A 25,067-nucleotide genomic window follows, 5' to 3' on the forward strand; every position below is an offset into this window, starting at 1 on the left:
AAAATCAAAGCCTTATACTGTCTTGCTTCATTCTACCTTTCTAACCTCACCTCCCTGGGTGCATTCTAGAACCCACCCATCTGCTGATCACTTCTCAGCAGGTGCTGTGTGCCATCTCTCCTCATTTGTGCTCATGCTTTTTTCCTTTGACTTTATCCCTCTGTCACCCTGAAAACTCCCTACTCATCCTTGAAGAAAACCTTGTTCAGATGGGCCATTCTTCTATAAAACCTTTCAACCTGCCCAATTACAAATCATGACTCTTTTCAGGGTTTCTGTAGCATTTATCTTATACGCCTGGTATGGAACACAAACTATTAGTTCTAGCTCCACTCTAAAATGGGAGCTCCTTTGAAAGAAAAGTCTATGAATTACACATCTTTGAATATTCACTGGCTGAGATAAGGCAAGAACAAGTCTTACCACTGAATTTTCAGGAGCACCTAACAAAGCTCCAAGATGGAGATAAATTTGTGGAATAAAAGAATCACCCACTTGTAAGAGCGAATATGCAGAACTGGGTAAATGAGTTAACATAAAATACTTTGAAAACATAAATATGTCCAAAATGATTTAAACATTTACTGTGAAACATCCCTGGTATACAAAGACTAGAACGGTGCTACTCAGAGCATGCTGTTCACCAGAGACTGTTGTGGATCCACTGTGAAATAAGAAACAAAATAAAAAGAATAAGTATTTAGAAATTTCTACAGCAATGTGACACGGCTGATCCATCAAAATGCAGGCTGAGTGGGCTCGTCTCCTGGGAGAAGGTACTGGCTGGTTCGGGTCTTGTCGAACTTGTGTATAAAAGTGACACATGGGGCAAGAGCTGCAGGCTGGTCATGTTGCAATAGGACGATATTCGTCTGGGACAGACTGGAAATGGGGGGAAAAATAACACAAGCCTTTCGCGAGACAGTTTAAAAAGCAAAGGGAGTAAAATAAGAAACTCCAGTGTACCAGAACCAATTTCCTCATGTTTACCTTCCATATTCGCTTGAGACCTTTCCTCCCCATGATAAAAAAAAAATTATAGATACAGTTGAAACCACCTCTATGTCCTTCCCCAACCCTTGCGTTCCCCCTCCTGCTCCTATATCATTTTTTAAATAGGCTACTGTCAAAGGAAAAGCAGAGCTGGAGAGCAGAGCAATGAAAATATTTTTTATCAGGACTACAGCAACAGGGGGAAAGAGATCTCAGTCAAGACCCCAGGCTGAATCCAAACACAGCATCGGCAAGTGGGAATTTATAGCCAAAGAGGAGGGTGGCAGTCGGTGAATGAAAAATTATTAAGAGGCAAAATCACAGGTAAGAGGACATTCTGGCCACACCATCCTAACAGGATTCTTGCCAAAGACAGGCCAAGATGATGACACATCACCCGATGGGGGATGAGGAAGCCGATCAGACACTGAGACTGATCAGATATGAAGGACTGGGGTTCTGGCTAAATTGACTTAGCAGGGTCCTTGCTAAAATGCACAGATGGGCCCTGGTGGGGACAGAGTTCAGGAACCTGACTAAAGTTTAGAAAAGCAAAGAATCTTTGTCAGCACCAAATCCCGTTTAGGAGGATGAAATTTTCCTGTTGAGGATTAGGGTCATGTTTTATTTCACCAAAAAAAAAGCACTAAAAATGAACAATGATCAATGTTATTGTACAGACTCTAGCCTGCTAAATATTATGTGAAAAGGTGCTGTGCCCCCTTGTCTGTGACCCTTCAGCCACAACTCATACAACTCAACTCCTGAACTCCAAGTGAAAGGCCCTGTGCTGCCCCAACCTGCAGAGGGAGAAACACCTTACTGAAATGTCTACAATTTGGAAAGAAAGACTAAAGAGCATGTTGTATGGCTGTAGAAAGAATAACACAGACAACGGATTTATTGCTAATAAAACAGACTAAGAACAATGGGCTGATGAGACTTAACTAAAAAGATGTTTATTCCAATGTTAGAGGTTACCTCAGAGAAGACACACAGAGAAAAGAAATGCCCGAAATGCCAGGTGGAAAGTAATGGGCTTTCCACGGTTAATCAAATGGGCACTGCCATGCCAACGTGCCTCCTGAAATTCAAACCCTCTATTTTTGCATGGCTGCCAACTCATTTCCAAAACATCCACTGCTAATCAAACTTGTTTGGCTGCCTCCTTATCGAAACTTTACAAAACTTTAATTTCAGCCTCATGAGCCCTGCAGCTGTAAATTAATTGAATGAAATTGACAAACATTATGCAGTGAGATAAAGCACTTTCAAAGTCTTTTCCCTATTCAGTTGACTTAGCTGCCCAGCATGCCAGTTTTGCTTGACATGAGTTCAGAATCCCTGGAAACCTTCCTAATCCTACTCTCTAGGCCTTGTGCCTATTCATGGAACCATGTTAACCCATATCCGGAAAATTAATAAACCTCGGATGGGTTTAAGCACTCAAAATACTCCTGATACTTCTTGCCATTCATTACATTGTAGACATCCTTTGCAACAGGAGAATCCTCCTCAAAAGACCACGACGGCAGCAGATAAAATCCCTGAGGTTATAAGCATACAACAAAATGTCTCATTTAAGATTACTGCAGTCTGAAGCCAGGAATTAAATTTGCTGAAGGTGCAGTCACTTATGCCTTAGTTAAATAAAGATAGTCCCAAAACTGATTTCTGAACTTACCCATTTCTCAAAGGGAGTGCAAAATTATCATGATTTTTAAACAGCAAGGCGAGTAAACTGATCGCCTCTGTATCTGCCAACTGAACAAATGAGTCAGCTAATCAGTGGTTACATACATCACACTGACAGAGAGGAGAGAAGACCATTAACTTTCTGAAATGAGAAGTCCTAATATACCGAGGTGCCACAAGTCACTTAGGATTTCCGTGGTTATGAAAGAAGAATTGAAACGTCTCTTCCCTCTGGTGGGTTTTCACAGCACAACTGCCACAGCTTCCAACTGAGGTCTAGTCTCTGACCTTCCCTCTTCATCAATGTTATCAGCATCTGGAAGCCCTCTGGCCTATGTGGAGCCATGGGGACAATGGAGGCAGTTTCAAAGCTTCTGTCTTATGACAGAAAACCTGGGTGTAAAACAACCTCTGATATGAACTACTAAGGGACTTGTATAGATTCCTTAAACTCTCCGAAACACTGTTCTCAACAGCAAAGTGAGGAGAAAAACAGCTCTCAAGTAGGGTTGGTGTGAACGTGAAAAAAGAGAAAGTAATACAAGAGTTGGGCATATAATAGGCTCTTAAAAAGAATTTTGAAGGCCGGGCACGGTGGCTCACGCCTGTAATCCCAGCACTTTGGGAGGCTGAGGCGGGCGGATCACAAGGTCAGGAGATCGAGACCACGGTGAAACCCCGTCTCTACTAAAAATACAAAAAATTAGCCAGGCGTGGTGGCAGGCGCCTGTAGTCCCAGCTACTCGGGAGGTTGAGGCAGGAGAATGGTGTGAACCTGGGAGGCGGAGCTTGCAGTGAGCCGAGATTGCGCCACTGCACTCCAGCCTGGGTGACAGAGCAAGATTCCATCGCAAAAAAAGAAAAAAAAAAAGAATTTTGAAATGGAAATGTATCTATTTTTCCTTTCTTTAGAAAACAAACAGAAAATGAAGCCAACATATCTCATCACAGATTGCTCTTTAAATATGCGACCTTATACCAAAAGCAGACAAGTTCACAAAGAGATTATTTTTATAATTTAATCACAGAAAAGACTAGACTATCAGGTAGTTGGTGGCTACAGAAGTGACTGCTCCCCACTGAAGCAAGGAATGGATAGAATAAGTCCTTGAAATAAATGCTCAGGTCTTCCCTTAGTAATTCTGGACAGTGGGGAAATTAGCTCATTCAAACAAAGTTTATTAAATAAATAAAATCCCAGCACTTGTCTCTTTAGACAAAAACCACATGGAAACAATACAAAAGATTGCTAATGCTTTGGCAAATGAATCACTCTTCCAAATGCCATTTACAAAAGCCCACCAGACCTCCAGCTGTGCTGATGCCATGGGAACCCCTAGGGCAATTATAAGTGGATTTAACTCAAGACCAGAAACACAGGAGTAATTTTTAAAGACCCAAAAACTTCCAAATAAATAAATCTGGAAAGGAATTACTGTTTACACCACAGAGCCACAGGTTCAAATAGCCAAACTTAAAGAAGAAAAAACACACATGTATATATCTACTTCATCATGTAATCTCTGAACAATAGGAACTTTACTGAGTTGTCACTAAGGAAAGAGCAAAATCTAAGATAGGTAGTTTCTGGAAAATGAAAGTCCAGAGAAACTTGGCCATAAAATGAAAATTATAACGGACTTACAGAGCTCGTCTTCTTTGGGTTAAGAAACAAAGGTCTTCTTGTGCAAAGGAAGAATTCGAAAGAGGAATTCTTAAGTAGATGGCTGATGCATCCACGTCTAAACATCCAAAATCTACCAAGCACCTATTACATAACTAAGCCCTGTGTCAGAGGCTGTGGAACAAGAACCACTAAAACTTATCTCTGACCTCAAGAAGTTTATAGTTCAGGGAAGTGACTGACAATCATAATACAGAGGCATAAGGGCTATCCAAATAGGGTCACAGGTTACGCTATGAATACAGGTATCACATCAGAAAATTACCGTACTTAAAATCTCAGCAAAGAGATCACACCCTCACACAATTAATGTTATCAACATCCATCCAGTCTCTCAAGCTCACCCTCTTCAACAATCTTTGCTTTACTGAGTTCCGGGTGGACTATTTAAATATCATACAAATTGATTCTGACATCACAATCACTGCCTGCTTCCTAAAACTTGCCCTCCACCGTCTATTATAAATGCTTTCCAATCAGTGCTCCCATTCTTCATTCTATTCACCACTTAGTTACTAGAATGTTTTTCTCAACTATGAATCTGACTTCACTCCCTTTCTTGAAAACCTCCTGTAGTTCCTGTTGTGTACGGGATAAAGGTCAGACAACTTAGTATAGCCCAGCTCAGTCCAGCTAGCAAAGCAAATACTAGCTTTATTCCCTGCAAGCAACGTAAGACAAAGACAACCACACTAAACTCAGTATTAGCAGACCACCATCCTCCCTGAGGCCTCCACTGCTTTGCACACACTCTTCTCTTTCTCAGAAGGTCCTTTCCCCTCCTCCTGTTGGTGCAGCCAATTCTTTCTCTTCCTTCTAATGCACCATCTTCTGTGTAGTCTTCTTTGACACTAGGTAGGGTTACATCTTTGCTCTGTGTTTCTATAACACTCTTCATATGCCATGGAACTGCATTCATTATATTGGTATAATTTTATTTGTCTTTTTTCTTCCTAGACTGTGAGCCCCTGGAGTTCAGGGACCATTTCTTAATCATATTCCAGAACCTATCACAATGAATGACACGAAGAATATATTTGATAAAAATCTGATGAATGAACCACTCTAAAATGCAACTCTAATAAAGAAAATTACTGCCTATTCAGTTGGAACTGTACCATGTTACAAACGTAAAATTATGTATAGTCTGATAAAGAAATACTATAATAGCCTTGGAAACAGCTCACATACAATTTTTTTTATAAATGGATTCATTACCATATAACTGGACCAGCTTACTGAAGAGTAGCCCTACAGCAGTCACTTCGCAGTTTGCAATTCATTTGAGGTTCAAAGCTAGCTCAAGGGAAAACAACGTTAGTATTAACAAACTTATTTTTAAGCTTAAGGTCAGAATTTAAGGGAAAATAAATAAATATAGTATGTTCTAAGAATCCAAAGGAATTTTTAAAAATTGCCCCCTGCAGCTGTAATTTCTGCATGGATGAGAAAACCTTAATTGCTTGCTGGCTTCCAAGAAAGCCATTAACCTGCATTTAAAAATTCAGCTTTCATCAAGAACAACCTCACATATCCAGCTCTCATGGAAAAAGGAATAGAAGCCTCTGACCTAGTTTTCAATTATTACCAAACTACTGATAATTGATCTCCTGGTCTCCAGGTTTGTTTGTTTTACTAAAATAAATTCCCTCTGGAGCTGCAGGTGCTTACCATGGGGCTGCGCAGGTGGAAAGCAGCCCAGTCTTACTATGAGGATGTCCGTTTGCCATCTGGGAACAAGGAGGAAGAAGCAGAGACCTGGGCAAGACCTCAGAGTAAGTGTCCTTTTTGGCGGCTCCCAGGGGTCCCCATCATGTGTTATAGGAAGGCAGAATTATTTGAGATAAGGATAGGAGCTGAAATAAGCAGTGCTAATACTGGTTAAAAGTTGGTGCTTCAGCTGCAGTCACAACAGATAATGTCTCTTCAGTTATATTTCCAAGCTATTTCTCATTTGGCAATGTACACTTACACCAAAACTGTGAAACTCTCGGAAGTGGCAGACCTTGGCAACAAGTGAATGGAAACTGTGAATTACAGTACATGCCACTGAGTAAGGGGTGCACATCTAGAAACCAGAAATCAGGTTCTGTCTTGGCTCAGCGTCTAACTAGATGTGTGGACTTAGACAAGTCATTTAACCATTGGGGATTCAGTCTCTTCATCTGTAAAGAGTTCATTTAGATGATCTCTTAAGTCCCTAAGATCCCCATTGTTAGGTCCAGGGTCAGGTTCCAGCCCATGCTGAGGCCGGAAGGGAGTGGGTAGATGAATGGCAGACAGCTGAAAGAACACTCAGGGGGCTACGGGTAGGTGAAATACAATTTTATTCAGCAGCTCTCTTACACTGTGTGTCTCGGCTGCTTGTTCCAGCCACTCCCAAGCACAGATCTCTGCTGGCTCTCTCTCCCTTTGGGGTCAACAGCTTAACTCTTTCCCTCTGAGCGCAAGCAAGCTGAGCTGTGTCCTGGCTCCCCGCTGCAAGACAGACAGATCTGGTGCTCTCTCTCTTTCTTTGGGTGCAAGCACGCCTGCACAGTGTCACCAGGGCAATTATACCTTTTAAAGACAACAGTGGCAAAGAGCCAAGTGATGGCCCTCCCATGTTATGGCTACATAGCTGTTTATATTACACATGGAGTTGCGCGCCTGCGCTACAGACTTGCTGAGTCACCCGGGATGTTTACCTCAGCCCATCCTGCCTGGCTGCAGTGCAGCCATGTTCCTTACACCTACCAATTTAAAAGTACTGTAATTCCATTTTAAGGGTTCTAAACCATGAACCATGTTCATGGTTTAGGATTTTAGATATTTCTCATTTAAACTTAGGAGCGAACTCTGCATTAGGACATTTCTCCTTTCATTGTCCATAAGATAACTCACCAAATCCTTGCGCAAAGAGAAACAAATATAAACTACATAAGAAATGACAGGTGAGCCTTACCAAGGACCCTGACCCATGCATAACATCTTAGTATAGCATATATATATATAGTATATGATAGAAACATGCCGTGGGCTTTCATACCCTCTACAATAGTTCATTATAAGTTTCATCCCCCAAAGAAGGCAACTTACATACTTAAGTTTTTCTAAATAGAATCCAGGTGCTTTCACCAGTGATGCTCTCCAAGGGATCCCATCATAGTAATCAGTCTAGCCAGTGCCAACTTCAGTTCTACTAAATTTAATGCCCTCTTATTTTGACTCAGGAATAAATTATCTCAATGGCTACTTACATGGTCCAGCATAGCAGAAAAAAAAGCCACACTGAGCAAGCAGTGGTCCTTTCCATGCTACACAAGCAAGAAATGCCTATAAAGACAGACTTGAGTGCAGTCTAAAGAATCTTTTGCTTTGCCTTAACACTCTACTTCTGGATATCCTTGCTCAAAAAGAAGTCTACTCAAGGTGTGTATCTTTCCTCTTTATAAGCCCTCTGGCCTCAGGAAGACTGGTTTCATTCATGTGGTCATGTTTTTGCACAGCTTAAGACTAAACTGTATGATCCTTCCTTCTGGGCTCCTACAAGGGCATGCCAAAGTCCCCTCAAATAACCAAAACGGTGCACATCCCCTTTGCGTCCCACAGCAGTCTGCTAGTTTATGTAATACCATAATGACAGCTATCTGGAGTGGAACAGTGACACTGCTTTTTCCCAGACTACTTCACCATGTGAGGTAAACGGTAGAGGCAGCAATAGGTCTGCTCAGTCTATGGCTAATACAAGACCTTGCTTATGATAGACTTCAAGAGCTTCTTATTAGCCAGCTGTTAATTCATACAAACTGCACAGAAATTCATTCTGGAGCAATATTATTTGTTTCACATTATACTTAACCTTGAAAAGGTTAGTTTTTCAATGGGGGATGATTATCCTGGATAGATGCATACCCCCTACAAACATGAAACTGGCAAGTTCACTAAAGATTTCTCAAGAGCCACCAAGCTAGCAAAAGTCGCAACCAAATAATATTATATACTCTGCCCTTCAGAGCAACCTTCTTCATGCTGAAGTCTTCAGTTCACAGAATGACTGACTTATTTTCAAAAGAGGAAGGCTGTATTGCATATTGTAACTCTCTCCAAATCTATACTTATGAGCTAATTCTTCAAAAGGTAAGATCAATTACCACACAGAAGGAGAAGCCATCCATTTTCTTGAAGCTGTCAAAATTTGAGCTGTCTCCCATAGGATTTCCACTGACAGTTAATGAAAAAAATCAGTATCTGTCAATTTTGGAAGAAATTTAAAAGTGGTAAGATATTCTTATAAATCGATGTTAAAATTTTGGTATAATTATTGTATATTTGGATTACTTTATTTGCTTTCCTCCAAATCATTTCTTTACTAAATTTCCCTAAGTTAGCTTAATAATGAGGTTTTCTTAAGGAGAAATCTGTTGGTTATACACATAAATTGCTAACAAAAAAGGGATCAGAGCTAAATGGATCCAATTTTTCCTCCTTCATATGCTACAATACAAGGCTACTGCAGAATTTACACCGTGAATAATGTGTATTTTGAAAACCCAAGCTTAGAATAGTAGTATTTTGTTTCACTATCAAAAGACAAAGCAAAAAAATAAAAAATAGGCTACACTAATGTACTTTTAAAAATATACTTGGAAAAGAAACGAAACTATTTCATTTAATGCTGTCTTATAGAACAGAAATGCCAATATATTTACACAGAAATAATTCAGCATCTTGAAGTATAAGTAAAAACACTAATGAAGACCAAATTTTTAGAGTTATTTCATACAAATAGAATAAATTTAGGCGGGGCACAGTGGCTCACGCCTGTAATCCCAGCACTTTGGGAGGCTGTGGCAGGCGGATCATGAGGCCAGGAGTTCGAGACCAGCCTGGCCAACATGGTGAAACCCCAACTCTACTAAAAATACAAAAAAGTTAGCCAGGTGTGGTGGTATGAGCCTGTAATCTCAGATACTCAGGAGGCTGAGGCAGGAGAATCGCTTGAACCCAGGAGGCGGAGCTTGCAGTGAGCCGAGATCACGCCACTGCCCTCCAGCCTGGGCAACAGAGTAAGACTCTGTCTCAAAAAATAAATAAATAAATAAATAAATAAATAAATAAATAAATAAATAAAATTTAATAAAAAGAGACTACCCATTGTTTCCACTAGAATTGCTGCCAAGGGAAATATACCTTTTAAGGATCAAGGCTTAGAATTGCTTTTCGCTTATTAGAATAAAATCTATCAGCAATCTGAAGAAATACATAAACAATCAGCAAATTCTAGTTAGATGGCTACAAACTAGGTAAATTACTAAAATGTGCCACATGAAGATAAAGTTAGTCTTGGTAAGAACAAAGGTTTCAAATAATTTTTGCTCTTAGATGTTTGCTGACAGATAAAATAGAGAACTTCATTTTCACCAAGTAACGCAAAGTATAAAAAGGCATCGGTATAGTGCTGTGCTGCTTTTGTTAAAATGGTACAAGGAGGAAAAGAGAGTATCTTCTAAAGTCCTTGAATGGGAAAGCCGTAGTTTATCACGTCGTATTATCACTTTCTATTTACACAGCATTTGTTTCTCCCACAGACAGGGAGGTTCCTGTGGACAGAAACATCTGCTTCCTGCTTATCCTGTATCTCAGCATCTGAATGGTCATGACTGGAACACAGGCAGACTTCAGAAATAAATACATAAATATCTCATACTCCTCGAATCTTTTAGAAAAAGAGTGTGGGTAACAATAAACATATCTGCTGAGAAATGACCACCTCACTCTACTCTTCTGCAGACTTCCCATTCTGTGCCGAGTCACCCTCAGTAGGCCTAAGTGTGACGATCCTCTCAGCACTCCCTGTAAACCTATTTAGGAATCCGCGAAAGAAAGAGAAGACCACCAGGCAGACTGGTGATGATATTTCTTGGGGAGGCTGTGCAGTTTTTCATAGTGAAGCCTACAACTTAGATTTTCAGCACTAATAGAACCCCATTATCAGGAGGAGAGAAAAGCACTAATTTCAGATGGGCTCTGACAGGGGACAGTTTTAAGAATTTATAGAGAGACATTTCCGTGTCCAGCCAGGATGTAATCATGGAAATTGGATTTACCTTCCCATCCATGTGTAACACCAACATCCAGTGGTTTTTCATGATACTGAACAAAGGCAGCAATCACTGAGAGACTGGGAAATAAACAAAAGGACTGCCCCAATTTATTAAGAAAGCTTCCAGACCACAATGAAGGTAGGTGGTGTGGAGTCCTGACAAGGTAAGTTAGCACCAACAAGGAAGAGGCCAGCCCCCGATGGGGGAGAACAATTGTTCTGAGAGACAGCTAATCACAAACAACCTGCTTGTACAACATCCTGTTCCCAAATACCTTGCTCTGCATATACCCCAGCAGCACAATCCTCTCTGCACATAACCCCTCCAGCATGGCCCTAGAAAACTTCCTTTCAGCCCCTGCCTCTTGGCAGACAGCCTCTTCTCTGCTGTGCCGGCCATTGCTTCCCGCTAATAAACTTGTTCTCGTTTTTGTTGTTGTTGTTTCGAGATGAAGTTTCACTCTGTCGCCAGGCTGGAGTGCTGTGGTGTGATCTCGGCTCACTGCAACCTCTGCCTACCAGGTTCAAGCAAATCTTGTGCCTCCGTTTCCCGAGGAGCTTGGGATTACAGGCGCCCGCCACCACGCCCGGCTCATTTTTGTATTTTTAGTAGAGACGGGGTTTCACCATGTTGGCCAGGCTGGTCTCGATCTCTTGACCTCGTGATCTGCCCACCTCGGCCTCCCAAAGTACTAGGATTACAGGCGTGAGCCTCCGCACCCGGCCTAAACTTGGTTTTAACTCGCACCTGTTTCAGTAAATTATTTACTTCCCGTGAAGCCAGCCTTAGCCAGTCACGCTCACAACAAGTAGAAGCCAGGCGGAGCCTGAAGGAGGCCCTGAGTTAAGGTGACAAAGTTGAGAGTATAGGGAGACCAAAAAAGGCTAGAGTTTACAGGACAGAATACCAGAGAGGAAAGAAGTGTACAGGGAGAGAAATCAACAAATCTGCAGAAGGTCAGCCTTAAATATTCCACGGAGTACTAATCAGCCCATGCACATGAACATACTGCCTGAAGCTGGGACAGGACCAGCTGAAAGAGTTAGAGGTAACAGTAGCAGGTGCTCAAATAAGACCACGAATACTGCCTGCTCCCATCAACCAGAGTAGAAAACCTCAAGGTTCAAGGGGTATTGAATAGAAGACCCAAAGAGCCTTGCCTCAGTGACTTGCCCTACACTAAATACTGCTCTGGTCCCACCTAAGAAAGATTAAAAGCAAGACCCCTTCCCCTACACACACTAAATAAAACTGTTTCCAAATAACTTCACTGTGTTACAGGGGGAAAAAAAGCTCAAGAATAATTTGAGGGATACAAAAATAGCTAGTACCCAAAAAGATAAAATAACAACATCTGGCATTCAGTCAAAAGTCGCAGCTTCAAGAGGACAAATACACGTGCAGGGAAAAAGCAGCATGGTTTCACTGGACGGCAGTGCATTTTCACTGGACAGTTGTCCCCAGTGTCATAGATGAGGTCACTGATGACAGAAAAGAAAAACATTTCTTGAAGAAATCAGACATATTACTTTTATACAACTAGTGCTCATCAAATAACAACTACCATACAGAGAGAGAATGAGATGACTAGCACTGGAAAGAGATAATAGATGAGCCACTGAGTACTTTCAATAAGAATTAATTGTAATCATGGCTGGGCGTAGTGGCTCACACCTGTAATCCCAGCACTTCCGGAGGCCAAGGCGGGCAGATCACCTGAGGTCAGGAGTTCGAGATCAGCCTGGCCAACATGGTGAAACCCCATCTCTACTAAAAATACAAAAATTAGCTGGGCGTGGTGGCACATGCCTGTAATCCCAAGCTACTTGGGAGGCTGAGGTACAAGAATTGCTTGAACCTGGGAGGCAGAGGTTGCAGTGAGCCGAGATCATACCACTGCGCTCCAGCCTGGGCGACAAGGGCGAAACTCTGTCTAAAAAAGAAAAAAAGAAAAAAAGAATTAACTGTAATCCTATACCTCAAGCACCCTGAGATGGACACACACACACACACACACACACACACACACACACACACACACACATTCTGCTAAATACTGTACCATGCTATAAATCCTAACCAGTAGAGTACAGCTAACACTTCACTTCTCACTTTGTAAATCACATTGAGGAGGTTTCTTTCACAGCTTATCTTATGAAATGGGGCTGAAACAAGTCAACAGATTAAATTTATCAAAATATAAAACACACATAATGGATTTGGAACAGAACTGCAGCTGTATCTTCACTGGCTCTCCTGCAGAGGAAGATACCATATAACTCAATGACTCCTTCTTTTAACTTGTAAGTCAGTGAAAAGAGGCACTAGTTTCCTGTTAACCACTAAACCTTGTCCATTATCTTAAACATAGAATACATCAAAACACCTGATAGGTTTTCAGTGAGAAGCCCTCAGCTATGCTATCTTACTGTCCTGAATCACAGGAAAAGAAATATAGAATATTAATGAGAAATAGAACAGCTTTCATACATAGCACATATAACTAGTTAGCCAGGCCCATCAACATGACTTGGCCATCATTTACAGAAAAATAGTATTGCTTTAATTAATTACCACATTTTCAAAGGTTAAGGGCATGAAACCAATCAGTCAGCTTAAACCTTGTTCCTTTCAACAAACGGGAAAATTTTCACAGGCAATACTTTAAAAATAAAACAAAAAAATTAGACTGCTAACTGACTCCAAAACCAAAATTCAGTCAAAAGGCATTAACTCCCCTGAATTTTAACAAGAAATGAAATGGTTTTCCTTAAAAACTCTTACTCCAGTGGATAAATTATAAATATTAGAATGAACTGCAAAAACCCACTAGAGCATCTGCTTTTCTATAAACACATAGAATGTCTACTGGAAAACAAGCCCCACTGAAAGCTGTACTGAATTACAAATAATCCACTCTACACTTGCTTGTCAGATCTTAGAACAAAACACACAAATATATCCACTTCGCAGTATCTGTATAAATGGACAAGTAGAAATCCGAATCATGTTATCTGAAAATGTTTTGCAATCATTTTTAGAATTTAATAAATAAAAGATAGGACTTTCCACTTTCATTTCCTTGTAGTGTATTTACATTGCACAGCACCTTCCGTTAGAAGGAACCAACACAGATGTGGGCTTTCTAGTTGGTTTCTCTGCTGCCCCCTTCTGCTTCAACAAAACACAGTAGGCAGGCAACCCAGATGCCAAAAATACCTCTCGAAGCCAGGTTTCGCAGAATAAACAAATCCAGGATGACTGATTATCTCATTTTTTAAAAGCATTTTCATATTACAATTGAAATTATTTCACGTGCTTTCTGAAATCTGATCCAGGTGTCTGGTTATACAAACTCAGTAATGACAAGGTAAGGTTTCCCTCCCACTCCTGACCCCAGTGCTCGCTCTTGCGCACTCTCTCTCTCTCCCTTCAACTTAGAAACCCACTATGTCATGCAGGCAGCCAGAAACTTCAAGAACCTTTTTTATTTCAAGTTCCAGGGTACATGTGCAGGATGTGCAGGTTTGTTACGTAGGTAAACGTGTGCCATGGTGGTTTGCTGTGCCTATCAACCCAAGAATCTTTTATAGTAAAAACATAACTACTTTAAAAACTTGGTTCTTTCATTTCCGAAAAACAGTAGAATAACATTATTTCTTTGCATTGGTCAAATTACATATTCTTTCTGTGACAGAATTTCTTTCTGCTAGGAACTTAAGAGATAATAGTTACAATATCACGATCATCACACATAGTACAAACAGTATAGGTCCTAGGAGGCAAAGACCAATAACTGTGTAATGCTGATAATGAACTTTTAAAGGTAAGGGACTACACAAACAATAGTGATTCCGAAAATGCTCAGAATATATACTGAGCAAAATTCTCTGCAACGAGGTATATAAACCTGAAGTGCTAAAAAATTTCACAAATAATTATTTTAAATACACACTAAAGGATAAATTTAAGGTAAAAACAGTAGCTGACTTTTAGTTTATTTTTCCAGAACTCAAATGTCAGGCCAAAAAAGTCAAAGCAGAAAACATCATAAATGATACCTTTAAGGTTATTCAAAGAGTGGGAAATATTTTTAAAGCAGGTGAGATTTTTCCAAGCAGAAAGTGCACCAAATACTGAAATCACGGAAGACAGAACTCAACTCCATTCCTCACCTCAAATGCACCGAAGACCCTTAGAGACACCCTAGAAGCCTCCATTAAATCCCATCAGGAAGTTGCATGTGCAGGTATTATGTGCAATATGGTGCACCTGCACCCCAATGATCCAAATGCCTCAAGCTAGAACCATCACTGACGCTTACTCAAGAATGTCAGCGATGGGAAACATTAAACGCACAAACTGTGGCGTGTTCGTTTCTGCTGGTTTCATACCCTTTCCAACAAATCCTCCATCCTCTGCCAGGGAAATCTTTGTAAATCAACATCTGATGAGACACCTCCAGGTGATGAAAAATGCCAGCTAGTCTGAAATACCCATTCTCCCTTCTTCCTTGAGACTCCCAATTTTTTTTTAAAATGTGTGCTAAAGAGAAGTGTTGTATGAAACTTCACCAGAACTTAAACTTAAAAGGTATGAGGCACGTGCTTTTTTTTTTTTTTTGGCTCTTCTGCCTTTCTTTCTCAATGCAGGGGTAATGGCTGGAGCTCCAGCAGCCACCTTGAACCGTGCAGGACCTTAAGGATGAAAGTCAGGTGCAGCACAACCAAAAGAAAGATTGACATCTGAGGACCTTCTAAAGATGCTTCTCTAGACTTGGAATACTTCCCTCTAGACGTCATTTATTTTTATTTTTAATTTTATTATTTTTTTAGAGACAAGGTCTCACTCTGTTGCCCAGGCTAGAGAGCAGTAGCACAATCATAGCTCACTGCAGCCTCAAAATCCAGGGCTAAAGCCATCCTCTCGCCTCAGCTTTCCAAGTAGCTAAGACTACAAACGCATGCCAACATGCTTGGCTAAATTTTTTTTTTATTTTTGGAAGTTGGTCTCAAACTCCTGGCCTCAAGCTATCCTTCCACCTTGGCCTCCTAAAGTGCTGGGATTACAGGCATGAGCCATCACACCCAGCCAAGACTTCTCCTATTTGAGAGTATAAACTGTTGTATCTTTCTGCCACTGTAGTTGGGTCTCTGTCTTGCAGCTAAGTCCAAGCTGTAACTAAAACACTCACTCTTTTTGTTCTTTCTTTTTTTTTTTTTTTTTGAGATGGAATCTCACTTTACTGACCAGGCTGGAGTGTAGGGGCATGATCTCTGCTCACTGCAACCTCCACCTCCAGGGTTCAAGTGATTCTCCTGCCTCAGCCTCCTGAGTAGCTGAGACTACAGGCATATGCCACCATGCCTGGCTAATTTTTATATTGTTAGTAGAGACGGGATTTCACCATGTTGGCCAGGCTGATCTCGAACTCCTGACCTCAGGTGGTCCATCCACCTCTGCCTCCCAAAGTGCTGCCATTACAGGCATAAGCCACCACACCTGGCCTAAAACACTCACTCTTGAACAACTCTCTATCACCTACCAGAAGTTCTAAGCCCTGCTGCCTCGCCAGTTTCATCTCCTGCCATGTACGACATACACTATTTTTCTTAAGAATTCTATTCTCTATGTCTCTATGTAGGAGAGGAAAATGTTTCTTTTCTTACCCATCAGTTCGTGGCTGAGATCCCTATAACAAAAGACAGATTGACAAGAGAAAAGCATATAAATTTATTTTAATGTAGGTTTTAAGTGACCCAGGAGCCTTCAGAAATGAAGACCCAAAGAAGCAGGGAAATTGGTCTATTTTTATGCTTAGGTCTGACGAAGACCAGAGAGTTATGGGGAAGTGTGATTGGACAATGGGAATATGATCTAATGGTAATAAATTGGGGAAAACTTAGCAACGCCTGTTTGTTCACATTCTTCTTGGTATCTCTCTGCCTTTGAGGATAAGGATGGTCTCTTCTCCAGGTATAGAGAGTATGCCTCTGGAATGAAGGATTTATAACTTGCTTCAGGAGATAAGGATGAGTAGAAGATAAGAGCGACCTTCTTGCTTCTGCTGTTTGTTCTAATGCCATATTTTGGGGTAGCATGTCCGGAACCCCATCACTTATCATGCTCCAAATTTTCATAGATGAGGGGTTTCACTGCCTGAAACCAGACCTTAATCCACCCTCTACTGACCTACTAAATTCCTAGTCCCCCTTCCTAAACTCAAGGGTCGCTTCCCGTATAGTTTTTGCTGGGCCTCTCTTCTCCGGCCCTACTGAGGCTCTCCTCTTCAGTCTTTCTCCTCCTTCCACAGCATCCCATTCACAGTTTCTACTTGTTGGATTCCTAAACATCTGTATATGTCTTCTACAAATCAATGGGCTCTTGAGTTCAGGGAGTATGTTGTGTCCAGTTCTGTATCTTCAGCACTTGGCATAATGCGTGGCTCATAATGACATTGGCTAGATGGCCAATATTTTGATTTATAAATTATGGGTCACAGGCCAGCCAAACTTGAATGTGATTTATTCTGTGAAATCATCTCCAACCCAACCATCCCTCCTGTGTGTTTCCAGACACTCTGAATGTATTTGGGGTTAGTTATGTACACATCTGTCTTCCCTGCTAGGCTGTGAGATCCAGAAGGGCAGGGAGCACGTATCACACAAGCTGGTACCCCCACCTCTAAGCACTGTGCCTGGCTTACACCACCTGCTCAATCAGTATTTTCTCAGTGTTGACAAAAATGACTACATGAAGGATGGCTTTCTTTAATCTCATGTTCATTCCACGTTGCTACAGTGGGGATACAAAAACGAATAAAACACATTTCTTGCTTTGAGAAGGATACAGTCTAAGAATATTAGAAAACATGAATACAGCTTTTAAGACAGAACATCATGTTGTGTCTGCAATCTCTAGCCCCTAATATGTACTAAACTTTAAATATTTTGTGATATAAAGACAAAACAAAAGTAATATTTTACTAGGACATTATCCTAATACATAATTTCTCTTGCTCTATGAGTATTTTTTTTAAGCCACCCAGTAAATGTGTAGCAACAAAGAACCATTTGGAAGTTATTCCCTGTCTTGCAGACTGAGTCAGATCATGGCTAACTGATGGTCGGTCCTCTCTCATGTTTCTTGTTTTGTTTTGTGTTTAGGGTTATTTCTTTTTCTTTGCTTTTCACCATTACTATGAATTTTGAAATTCCTTCCATTTTGCAAAAAAAAAAAAAAAAAAAAAGCTTTCCTAATTATTGTTCATTATAACTGTAATCTTTTAAAAATGAAAGAGTCCAAAATTCATCTAAATGTCTGTTAAAATGAACAGAAGTTGACTTAAGATACAGTGTAGTTTTTAGTCTACATATTTAATTTTCAGTGTATTCCCAGAGAAATAGCAGTGTTGATTATCTCTCTTTCATGTCCTAAAATTAATAGCAGCTCATACTGAACCCGTCTAATGGAAGGATAAAGACTTACCCTCCAGGCCAGTAACTACAAAATGACTGTTGCAGGAAGTAGGAAGAACATATGCTGGAAACTGGTTCTAAAATGAGTAATCAGTGATGTCATTATAGGGAAAAGAGTGCAGCGTTAATGACAGAAACCGGGCATATCATCTGTGACAAGAGCATCACAATATAGCAAAGCGATTACTACAGAGTTCTAATCAAATAAAATATCACAAGATAATTAAACTTTCCATGTTCAGAATGAAACTTCAGTTAATACAACACCTACATCCTCTGGAGTGGTATTCAAAAATAGTTCAATTTTAAAGGAAAAACTCTCATTCTCCAAAATTTCAAATATAAATATCCCTTGCAGAATGAACAGGAAGAAAAGACTAATTAAAAAAAAAAAGAATCTCCAATATTCTTTGGAGATAAGTAGACACACTTATAAAGAATGCAGGGCCAGGAAAGGTAGCTCATGCCTGTAATCCCAGCACTTTGGGAGGCAGAGGCAGGAGAATCTCTTGAGGCCAGGAGTTTGAGACTAGCCTGAGCAACATGGCAAGATCCCATCTCTACAAAAAAATTTAAAAAATTAGCCAGCAATGGTGATGCACACTTGTAGTCCCAGCTACTCAGGAGGCGGGGGCAGGAGGATCACCTGAGCCCAGGTGTTTGAGGCTGCAGTGTGCCAAGAGCCAAGGTCGCACCACTGCACTCCAGCCTAAGCAACAAAGAGAGTGCTGTTTCTCAAACACAGAGTCACACACCCTTATGAAGGTGTATTCGTATATGACAGAACTAAGAATTCTGAAAACTACTACTTGCTACCATATGGCAAATTACCAAGGCTCCGAACATCTGTCATGTATTTCAAAAATGATTCACTAAATATTAATCCCATTACATGCTAATGAAATATCCCTAGTTGCCAAGTAATTTTCAAAAATGCACCAACTAATTAAAGACCAAATCACATATTTGACTAAAGGACACGTTTCATTTAACTCTTAGCTGGACACTTTCATTGAACTCTGGATTGCCCAGTAACCAAATGTAAGATGACATTGTGTATGGTGACCAGGCCGAACTCAGCTGATGTCCTAACCAAGGACACCAAACAAACATGCCCCTGCTCTCCGGGACTAATTTCACATCTGCACTGAAAAACACAATGAAGGGCGTAGCCATGATTAACTTCAGGCCAATCAAATGGCTCCCAAAAGAGGCCAATTTTAAATCTATGGATCACAGAACTTCTTCATAGGAAGTTTCTGTCAAGGGAAAACATACTTTGAGTTTTTTGATTTTACTTTGATTTCCGTGAAACACTCTCTATAATACCTTATAGAGCTAAAGAGAAAAATTAAGAGGAGATAACAGACTGTCCTTTACAATGTACTATCCTCTTTTACCCTGTTCTCTCACTGAAAATTGAATAACAATTACAAAGTTCAAAATCACAGATATCTGACATTTGGAAGTGCCAGAACACCTTTCAAAAAATGAGCTGAATATGTTCAAAGCAATCCAAAATTAAAGAGAACTTCAAGGTGCAAGCAGGTGATAATCTAAACGGAAGAGCCATCTGATGCAACAGCCTACATCATTCTGCATTGGCCCTGCATGGTGGCTCACGCCTGTCATCCCAGCACTTTGGGAGGCCGAGGTGGGCAGATCATGAGGCCAAGAGATCGAGACCATCCTGACCAACAATGGTGAAACCCCATCTCTACTAAAAGTACAAAAATTAGCTGGGCATGGTGGTGGGCACCTGTAGTCCCAGCTACTCGGGCAGCTGAGGCAGGAGAATAGCTTGAACCCGGGAGGCAGAGGTTGCAGTGAGCCAAGATCACGCCACTACAATCTCCAGCCTGGGAGACAGAGTGAGACTCCATCTCAAAACACACACACACACACACACACACACACACACACACACACACACACACAAATCATTCTGCACTGACTTTCCTAATGGTGGCAGTCCTTGGGTTCCATCTTTTTATTTTTGTCCCTAATAAAATTGAAGCTATTAAAATTGTATTACATGCTTGTATTGTTTTACATAAGGCAGTATGCTAAGTCCAAAATGCCTAATTAAAACATTACAAAGGGATGCATACTGTCCATTTTTCTTGTGTTTTTTTTCCCCTGAGAAATGCACAATTTTACATAGGAACCGTTAACGAAATGGCAACCCTAGCACCCAAAGATGGGACTAGTCCTGCATCTGCTGCCATCAGCCTTTCTTCCTATCAACGCCTCTTACAAGTCATGTCTGTCATCCTTGTCACTATATCTATATCTACGAATATACCACATTTTCTTTATTTTAAAATCTCTCCATTTAAGATCCTTTCCACAAAAGATGTTGTCTTCGTATTTACCTCACTGCCAATGCTTAAACCATATTTTGTGTATAACAAAGTCAATAAGTGTTGAATTAATGATGAATTATCCTATCACTATTATTGCAAAAGCAACTGTTTTAATAAGTGATAAACACTCTCTTTAAAAAGTACCTTTAGCCTGTGTTCTAGTCTCAGTATTGTCACTAATTGGCTGTGGATTTAAGGCAAGTCACTTAACCTCTCTAGTTTGTTTCCCAGTCTGTAAAATGTGGAGTTGGCCAAAGTGACTATTTAAAAAGTTCCAAATGAATGAATGAATGAATAAAAAAAGAAAGAAAGAAAGAAAGAAAAGTTACTTCCAGCAATAAAGACTACAGCTGTACGAGTTTTTTTTAAGGTTTTATCAACCAAATCACTAAGTCTTTGAAGGTAATTAAATTGCATAAAATCCAAAGATGCTGTCCACAAAGAAGGCGAGGTTTGAATAGAGCCAACTTCCTAACATGTACCCATCACCTATTAGGTGCAAAACACTGAGCTAGTCAATGTAAGTGCAAAAAAATGCCTAAGACTGTCCCTCAGTTTTCCAACCTAATGAGATAGATGAATGAGTAAAAGAGTGACTACAATAAAAGGCAGATGACATAAGGCCGGAGAGGGACACAAGCAGCATAATTTAAGACAGAAAATAACCAGGTGTGATGGCTTCAGCTAGAATATATCTTGGTTGAGAATGTATCTGATGATCATACACAGAGGCCTGGACAGGCCTCACCCCAGGCCACCCATGACACTGTAATAGAGTGATCTTTTCTACTTAAAACAAAATCTGGGCGGATCATGAGGTCAGGAGATTGAGACCACGGTGAAACCCCATCTCTACTAAAAATACAAAAAAAAATTAGCCGGGCGTGGTGGCGGGCGCCTGTAGTCCCAGCTACTGGGAAGGCTGAGGCAGGAGAATGGTGTGAACCCGAGAGGCGGAGCTTGCAGTGAGCCGAGATCGCGCCACTGCACTCCAGCCTGGGCGACAGAGCGAGACTCCGTCTCAAAAAAAAAAAAAAAAACACACACACACACACACATCTGGAATTTCCCTTATGGAGTTATGATGTCTCAATGATTACGGAACTTTACTACATTGGTAAAGATGTTGATGGCAGCATATTTAACACTGTGAATAGTCTTCCTTAGTACTTCATATATTGAAGTTGAATCTGCATCCCATACCCTTCACAAACCCCTGCATAATGAATACTATTTAAGTCATCAGAATATAACTTTCATCATGTTAATTTTATCTGAAGAATATGCACTGGCTCTTTATTGCCTGTTATGCCACATTCAAATTCCTCAGACAAAATCCCACTGTACCTATGTGGTAAATGGGGTAACCATACTATGTATGACAAGTTTCTATGACAAAGAAACTTGAGATTTCTAGAAACCAGGTCTTTCAGATACCTCTTCACTTTGATATAGATAAACTAAAGAGGAATAAACAAATAAAATTTAAAATTTTTAGCTATTTAATATTTTAAAAGTAATCTACTGAGTATAGAACAGTTTTTAAAGTTCAGCTGAGGACCACGATTTATGAGCTCGAAGGAAAGACATACTTCGATGGAGTGGTAACATATAATAAAAGACCCTTTGGTAAAGCTAAGAGGAATAAAAGAAAGAATGGCAATGGCAAAAACAAGAGGGATGTGATGACGATCAGAAGTGGTGAGAGGGATCCTGAATAACAGACAAATATGGGCAATATGGCTATGAACCTTAGATAACGACAGAGAGGAAAACAGCCAATCAAGCAATCAGTCCATCAATGAAACATCACCACCAAGAAAACATAATTTGTAATTCGAGTAGTAGTAAAAAGGAGTGGCAACTACCTATCCACTGTATCCATTTTATACACAACAAACTTTGAGGAATCTATAAGATGTATTGGAAGGAAGAGACTAGAGGGTTAGAAACCATCGGAACAGCATTTCAGTATCCCCAGAAGCTATCAGCCAGCCATCTGGAAAGTGCTTCAAGCAGAATAATTCCAGAGCACTAAGAAGCATTACTTACACACAGCGCAGTGCCGTGCCAAGCTAAATCATGGAGCAACACAGCACTGCAGCTTGGACAGGATCCCCATCTGGGCATGAGCACTGCAAAGGAGCTTTAGATCAGTGGTTCTCACTGGGGGTACTAGGGACCATTTTCAGTATTTTCAATTGTCACAATGGCATGTGGTAGACTGTAGCCAGGCCTGCTAGACAGGACAGCCTTAGATAACAAATAATTACCCAGTATCCTCCAAGTCTTTCAGATGTTCCACCAGACTTGCCGGTAGGTGAGAAAATCCTGTTACTTCTTTGAATATAGAGCCTAACTGTATTTTACTTACAGACACAAGTGTTTCTTGCACTGTTTAGTAGTCACTGAATTATCAAGGAATGCAACATCCTTAAATGTAAATTGAAGAGGAATTATACTTTGTTTTGTTTGCAATTGTACCAAGAGTTGTTCATCATTGTGAAAAATCATGTCGACAATTCATGGCATTTCAATCACCAACACAATAACCAGGCATCAATCTACATACACAGATGTTACATTTATAGGATTCTATGTATGTTTATGTGTATACTTATTTACTCCTTATTTCAAAGCTTCAAATAGAAAGAAAAGCTTTTGCCAATACTCAGTTGAATGTTGTTTTACTCCTCTTTAATCCAAATATATTCATTGCAAGTAGGTCCAAACATCTGATGACATCATTTTATCTCCAGGAATAGTCAACAAGTAAGCATTTACATAATAAAATGCACTGAAAGCTATCTTTCTCTTTTCTTTATATTAAAATTGTAACACTATTTTAATACTTAAATTTATGTGTAGAGGCAGTTATATTATTAATACATTTCATTTCAGAAATGAAGGGGATATTCCAAAACACATTACAAAGATGCAGCACTGAATCTAATAGGGTTAGTAACCACTGCTTTGGATGCACAGAGAAACCGTAGAGAGCGGATTCCAATGTATCTACACAGGAAGGTAAAGTGCAAAAGTACCAAAAGGTGATGCTAGCTCTGTAAAGGAAAATATCATTTGCTCATGATTAGAAGAGAGAAATACAGATTAATGCCATATAGAACTCTGAAAGGGCAGCTTTTCCTGTTCTTTGAGGATGCTTGGTTATTGTAAGCGGTCACAAGGCACCAGTTCCCATGCCAACCTGAGTCAACTGCAGCACCAAACCATAGACTGCATAAACACCTCAATATTTCTCATTCACAGAAAAGGTGAGAACTTTTTTGTCAATAACTTCAACAAAGATGAGCCCAAGTATTTTCAGAAATACTAGCATTTTAGTGTGATGATACTGCATTGGAAAGTTGGATAAAGTAGACAAAAGATAGTTGAGAAATCCTGTAGAAGAATTCTGTATTTTGTTTTAGTATTTTGTTTTTAAGGAGCTAATTTCTAGTTTGTTTTCTTCTATTTCTGTTGTCTGTAAGCAAAAAGAACTAATTTCCTTACTGGTCTAATCCCTAAACTCACTGCAGTGGAAATGAGTGAAATATGAAAAGGAGGCTGGGTGCGGTGAATCACGCCTGTAATCTCAGCACTTTGCGGGGCTGAGGCGGGTGGATCACCTGAGGTCAGGAGTTCAAGAGCAGCCTAGCCAACATAACGAAACCCCATCTCTACTAAAAATACAAAAATTAGCCAGGCATGATAGCGCGTGCCTGTAATCCCAGCTACTCAGGAAGCTGAGGCAGGAGAATCACTTGAACCTGGGAGGCGGAGGTTGCAGTGAGCCACGATCACGCCCCTGTGCTCTAGCCTGGGAGACAGAGCAAGACTCTGTCTCAAAAAGAAAAGAAAAGAAAAGAAAAGAAAAATACGAAAAGGAGAGGAGATTATATAGCTAAAATGAGTGTAAACATAGATTATAATTTCCAGTATTACTATTTTAATTATTAGTATTAAGTATGCATTTATTATTATCATCAACTTTTACAAAATGCAGTAAGGGTAGAAATGTAGGCGTAAAGCAAAGCCCTGTTTGGTAGAACAAAATCCTACTTGGTAGTAACAATAACAATCAAATACCTCCAAGTCACTGTTGAAATGTTGTCTTCTCCACGAGGCCTAATGTGACTTTCTATGTAAAACTGCAAGTTGCCCCAATTCCTGCACTCCTCCTCCCCATCTCTATTACGATGTTCAGTTTTATTTCATAGCTCTTACCAGTTTCTAGCATACAAAGTAATTTGCTCATTTATTATGGTTATAGTTGCCTCCTACCTCTAGAATATATTTCTATGAGGGGAGGAACTGTTCACTATACAGTCCAGCATGCTGAAAAGTGTCTGGAACAGGGTAAGTTAACCAGTATGTATTTGTGGAAAGAATGAACAATAGCACATACCATTTACTGAGTGCTTTCTATGGGCCAGGCACATTGATAAGTGCTTTACATAGAAATCTTATTTAATTTTTATTATAAAAGCCTGCAAGGTAAATATTATGAATCCTCAGTTCATAGATGAACAAACTGGGATTTAGAGAGAGTACAACAGCTGTTCTACATGGTACAGCCAGTGAGCAGTGGGGCTGGCCCTCAAGCCCAGGCAGTCTGACTTCAAAGTTCCATACTCGCCACAACAGAAACTCAGTAGAGCTCAGATACTCTTTTTCTCCCTTTAGGGGGTGAAAGGAGTATCTGGATTAGTCAGCTCCATTGTGCGTGTGTGTGTGTTGTGTGCTTTTTTGGTTTTGTTTTGTT

General features: G+C 40.2%; 1 protein-coding gene and 1 long non-coding RNA gene across 15 annotated transcripts in view, besides 3 other annotated features; one reads left to right on the forward strand and one right to left on the reverse strand.

The window, feature by feature from the left end:
• The window catches only part of SMYD3 (SET and MYND domain containing 3), a 757,933-nt gene that overhangs the window by 354,400 nt on the left and 378,466 nt on the right, over positions 1 to 25,067 (reverse strand). Inside the window, exon 1 of one of the 14 annotated variants that reach the window (XM_011544254.3) lies at positions 4,334 to 4,505. The exons of the other annotated variants lie outside the window; for them this stretch is intronic. Within the exon in view, the coding sequence (XP_011542556.1) occupies positions 4,334 to 4,438 (105 nt within the window). The 5' untranslated portion in view covers positions 4,439 to 4,505. Of the gene's footprint in view, positions 1 to 4,333; positions 4,506 to 25,067 lie in introns of those variants that run through there. 14 annotated transcript variants of the gene reach the window in all.
• SMYD3-AS1 (SMYD3 antisense RNA 1) lies at positions 4,880 to 10,123 on the forward strand. The gene is made up of 4 exons (NR_183265.1): positions 4,880 to 4,971; positions 6,036 to 6,147; positions 7,585 to 7,783; positions 9,943 to 10,123. It is a non-coding gene; the product is annotated as an SMYD3 antisense RNA 1 (long non-coding RNA).
• Positions 6,305 to 6,806: an enhancer, noted in NCBI's record as "H3K27ac hESC enhancer chr1:246273353-246273854 (GRCh37/hg19 assembly coordinates)". NCBI's record gives its function as "activates a minimal SCP1, AML or CMV promoter by ChIP-STARR-seq in primed H9 embryonic stem cells {active_cell/tissue: H9 hESC(primed)}" and the evidence as "EXISTENCE:reporter gene assay evidence [ECO:0000049][PMID:30033119]".
• Positions 6,807 to 7,306: an enhancer, noted in NCBI's record as "H3K27ac hESC enhancer chr1:246273855-246274354 (GRCh37/hg19 assembly coordinates)". NCBI's record gives its function as "activates a minimal SCP1, AML or CMV promoter by ChIP-STARR-seq in primed H9 embryonic stem cells {active_cell/tissue: H9 hESC(primed)}" and the evidence as "EXISTENCE:reporter gene assay evidence [ECO:0000049][PMID:30033119]".
• Positions 7,861 to 8,155: a silencer, noted in NCBI's record as "tiled region #4643; HepG2 Repressive non-DNase unmatched - State 23:Low". NCBI's record gives its function as "represses a minimal TATA promoter and a strong SV40 promoter by Sharpr-MPRA in HepG2 cells {active_cell/tissue: HepG2}" and the evidence as "EXISTENCE:reporter gene assay evidence [ECO:0000049][PMID:27701403]".

The sequence above is a fragment of the Homo sapiens genome, chromosome 1 (assembly GCF_000001405.40).
Source record: "Homo sapiens chromosome 1, GRCh38.p14 Primary Assembly".
Taxonomy (NCBI): Eukaryota; Metazoa; Chordata; class Mammalia; order Primates; family Hominidae; genus Homo; species Homo sapiens.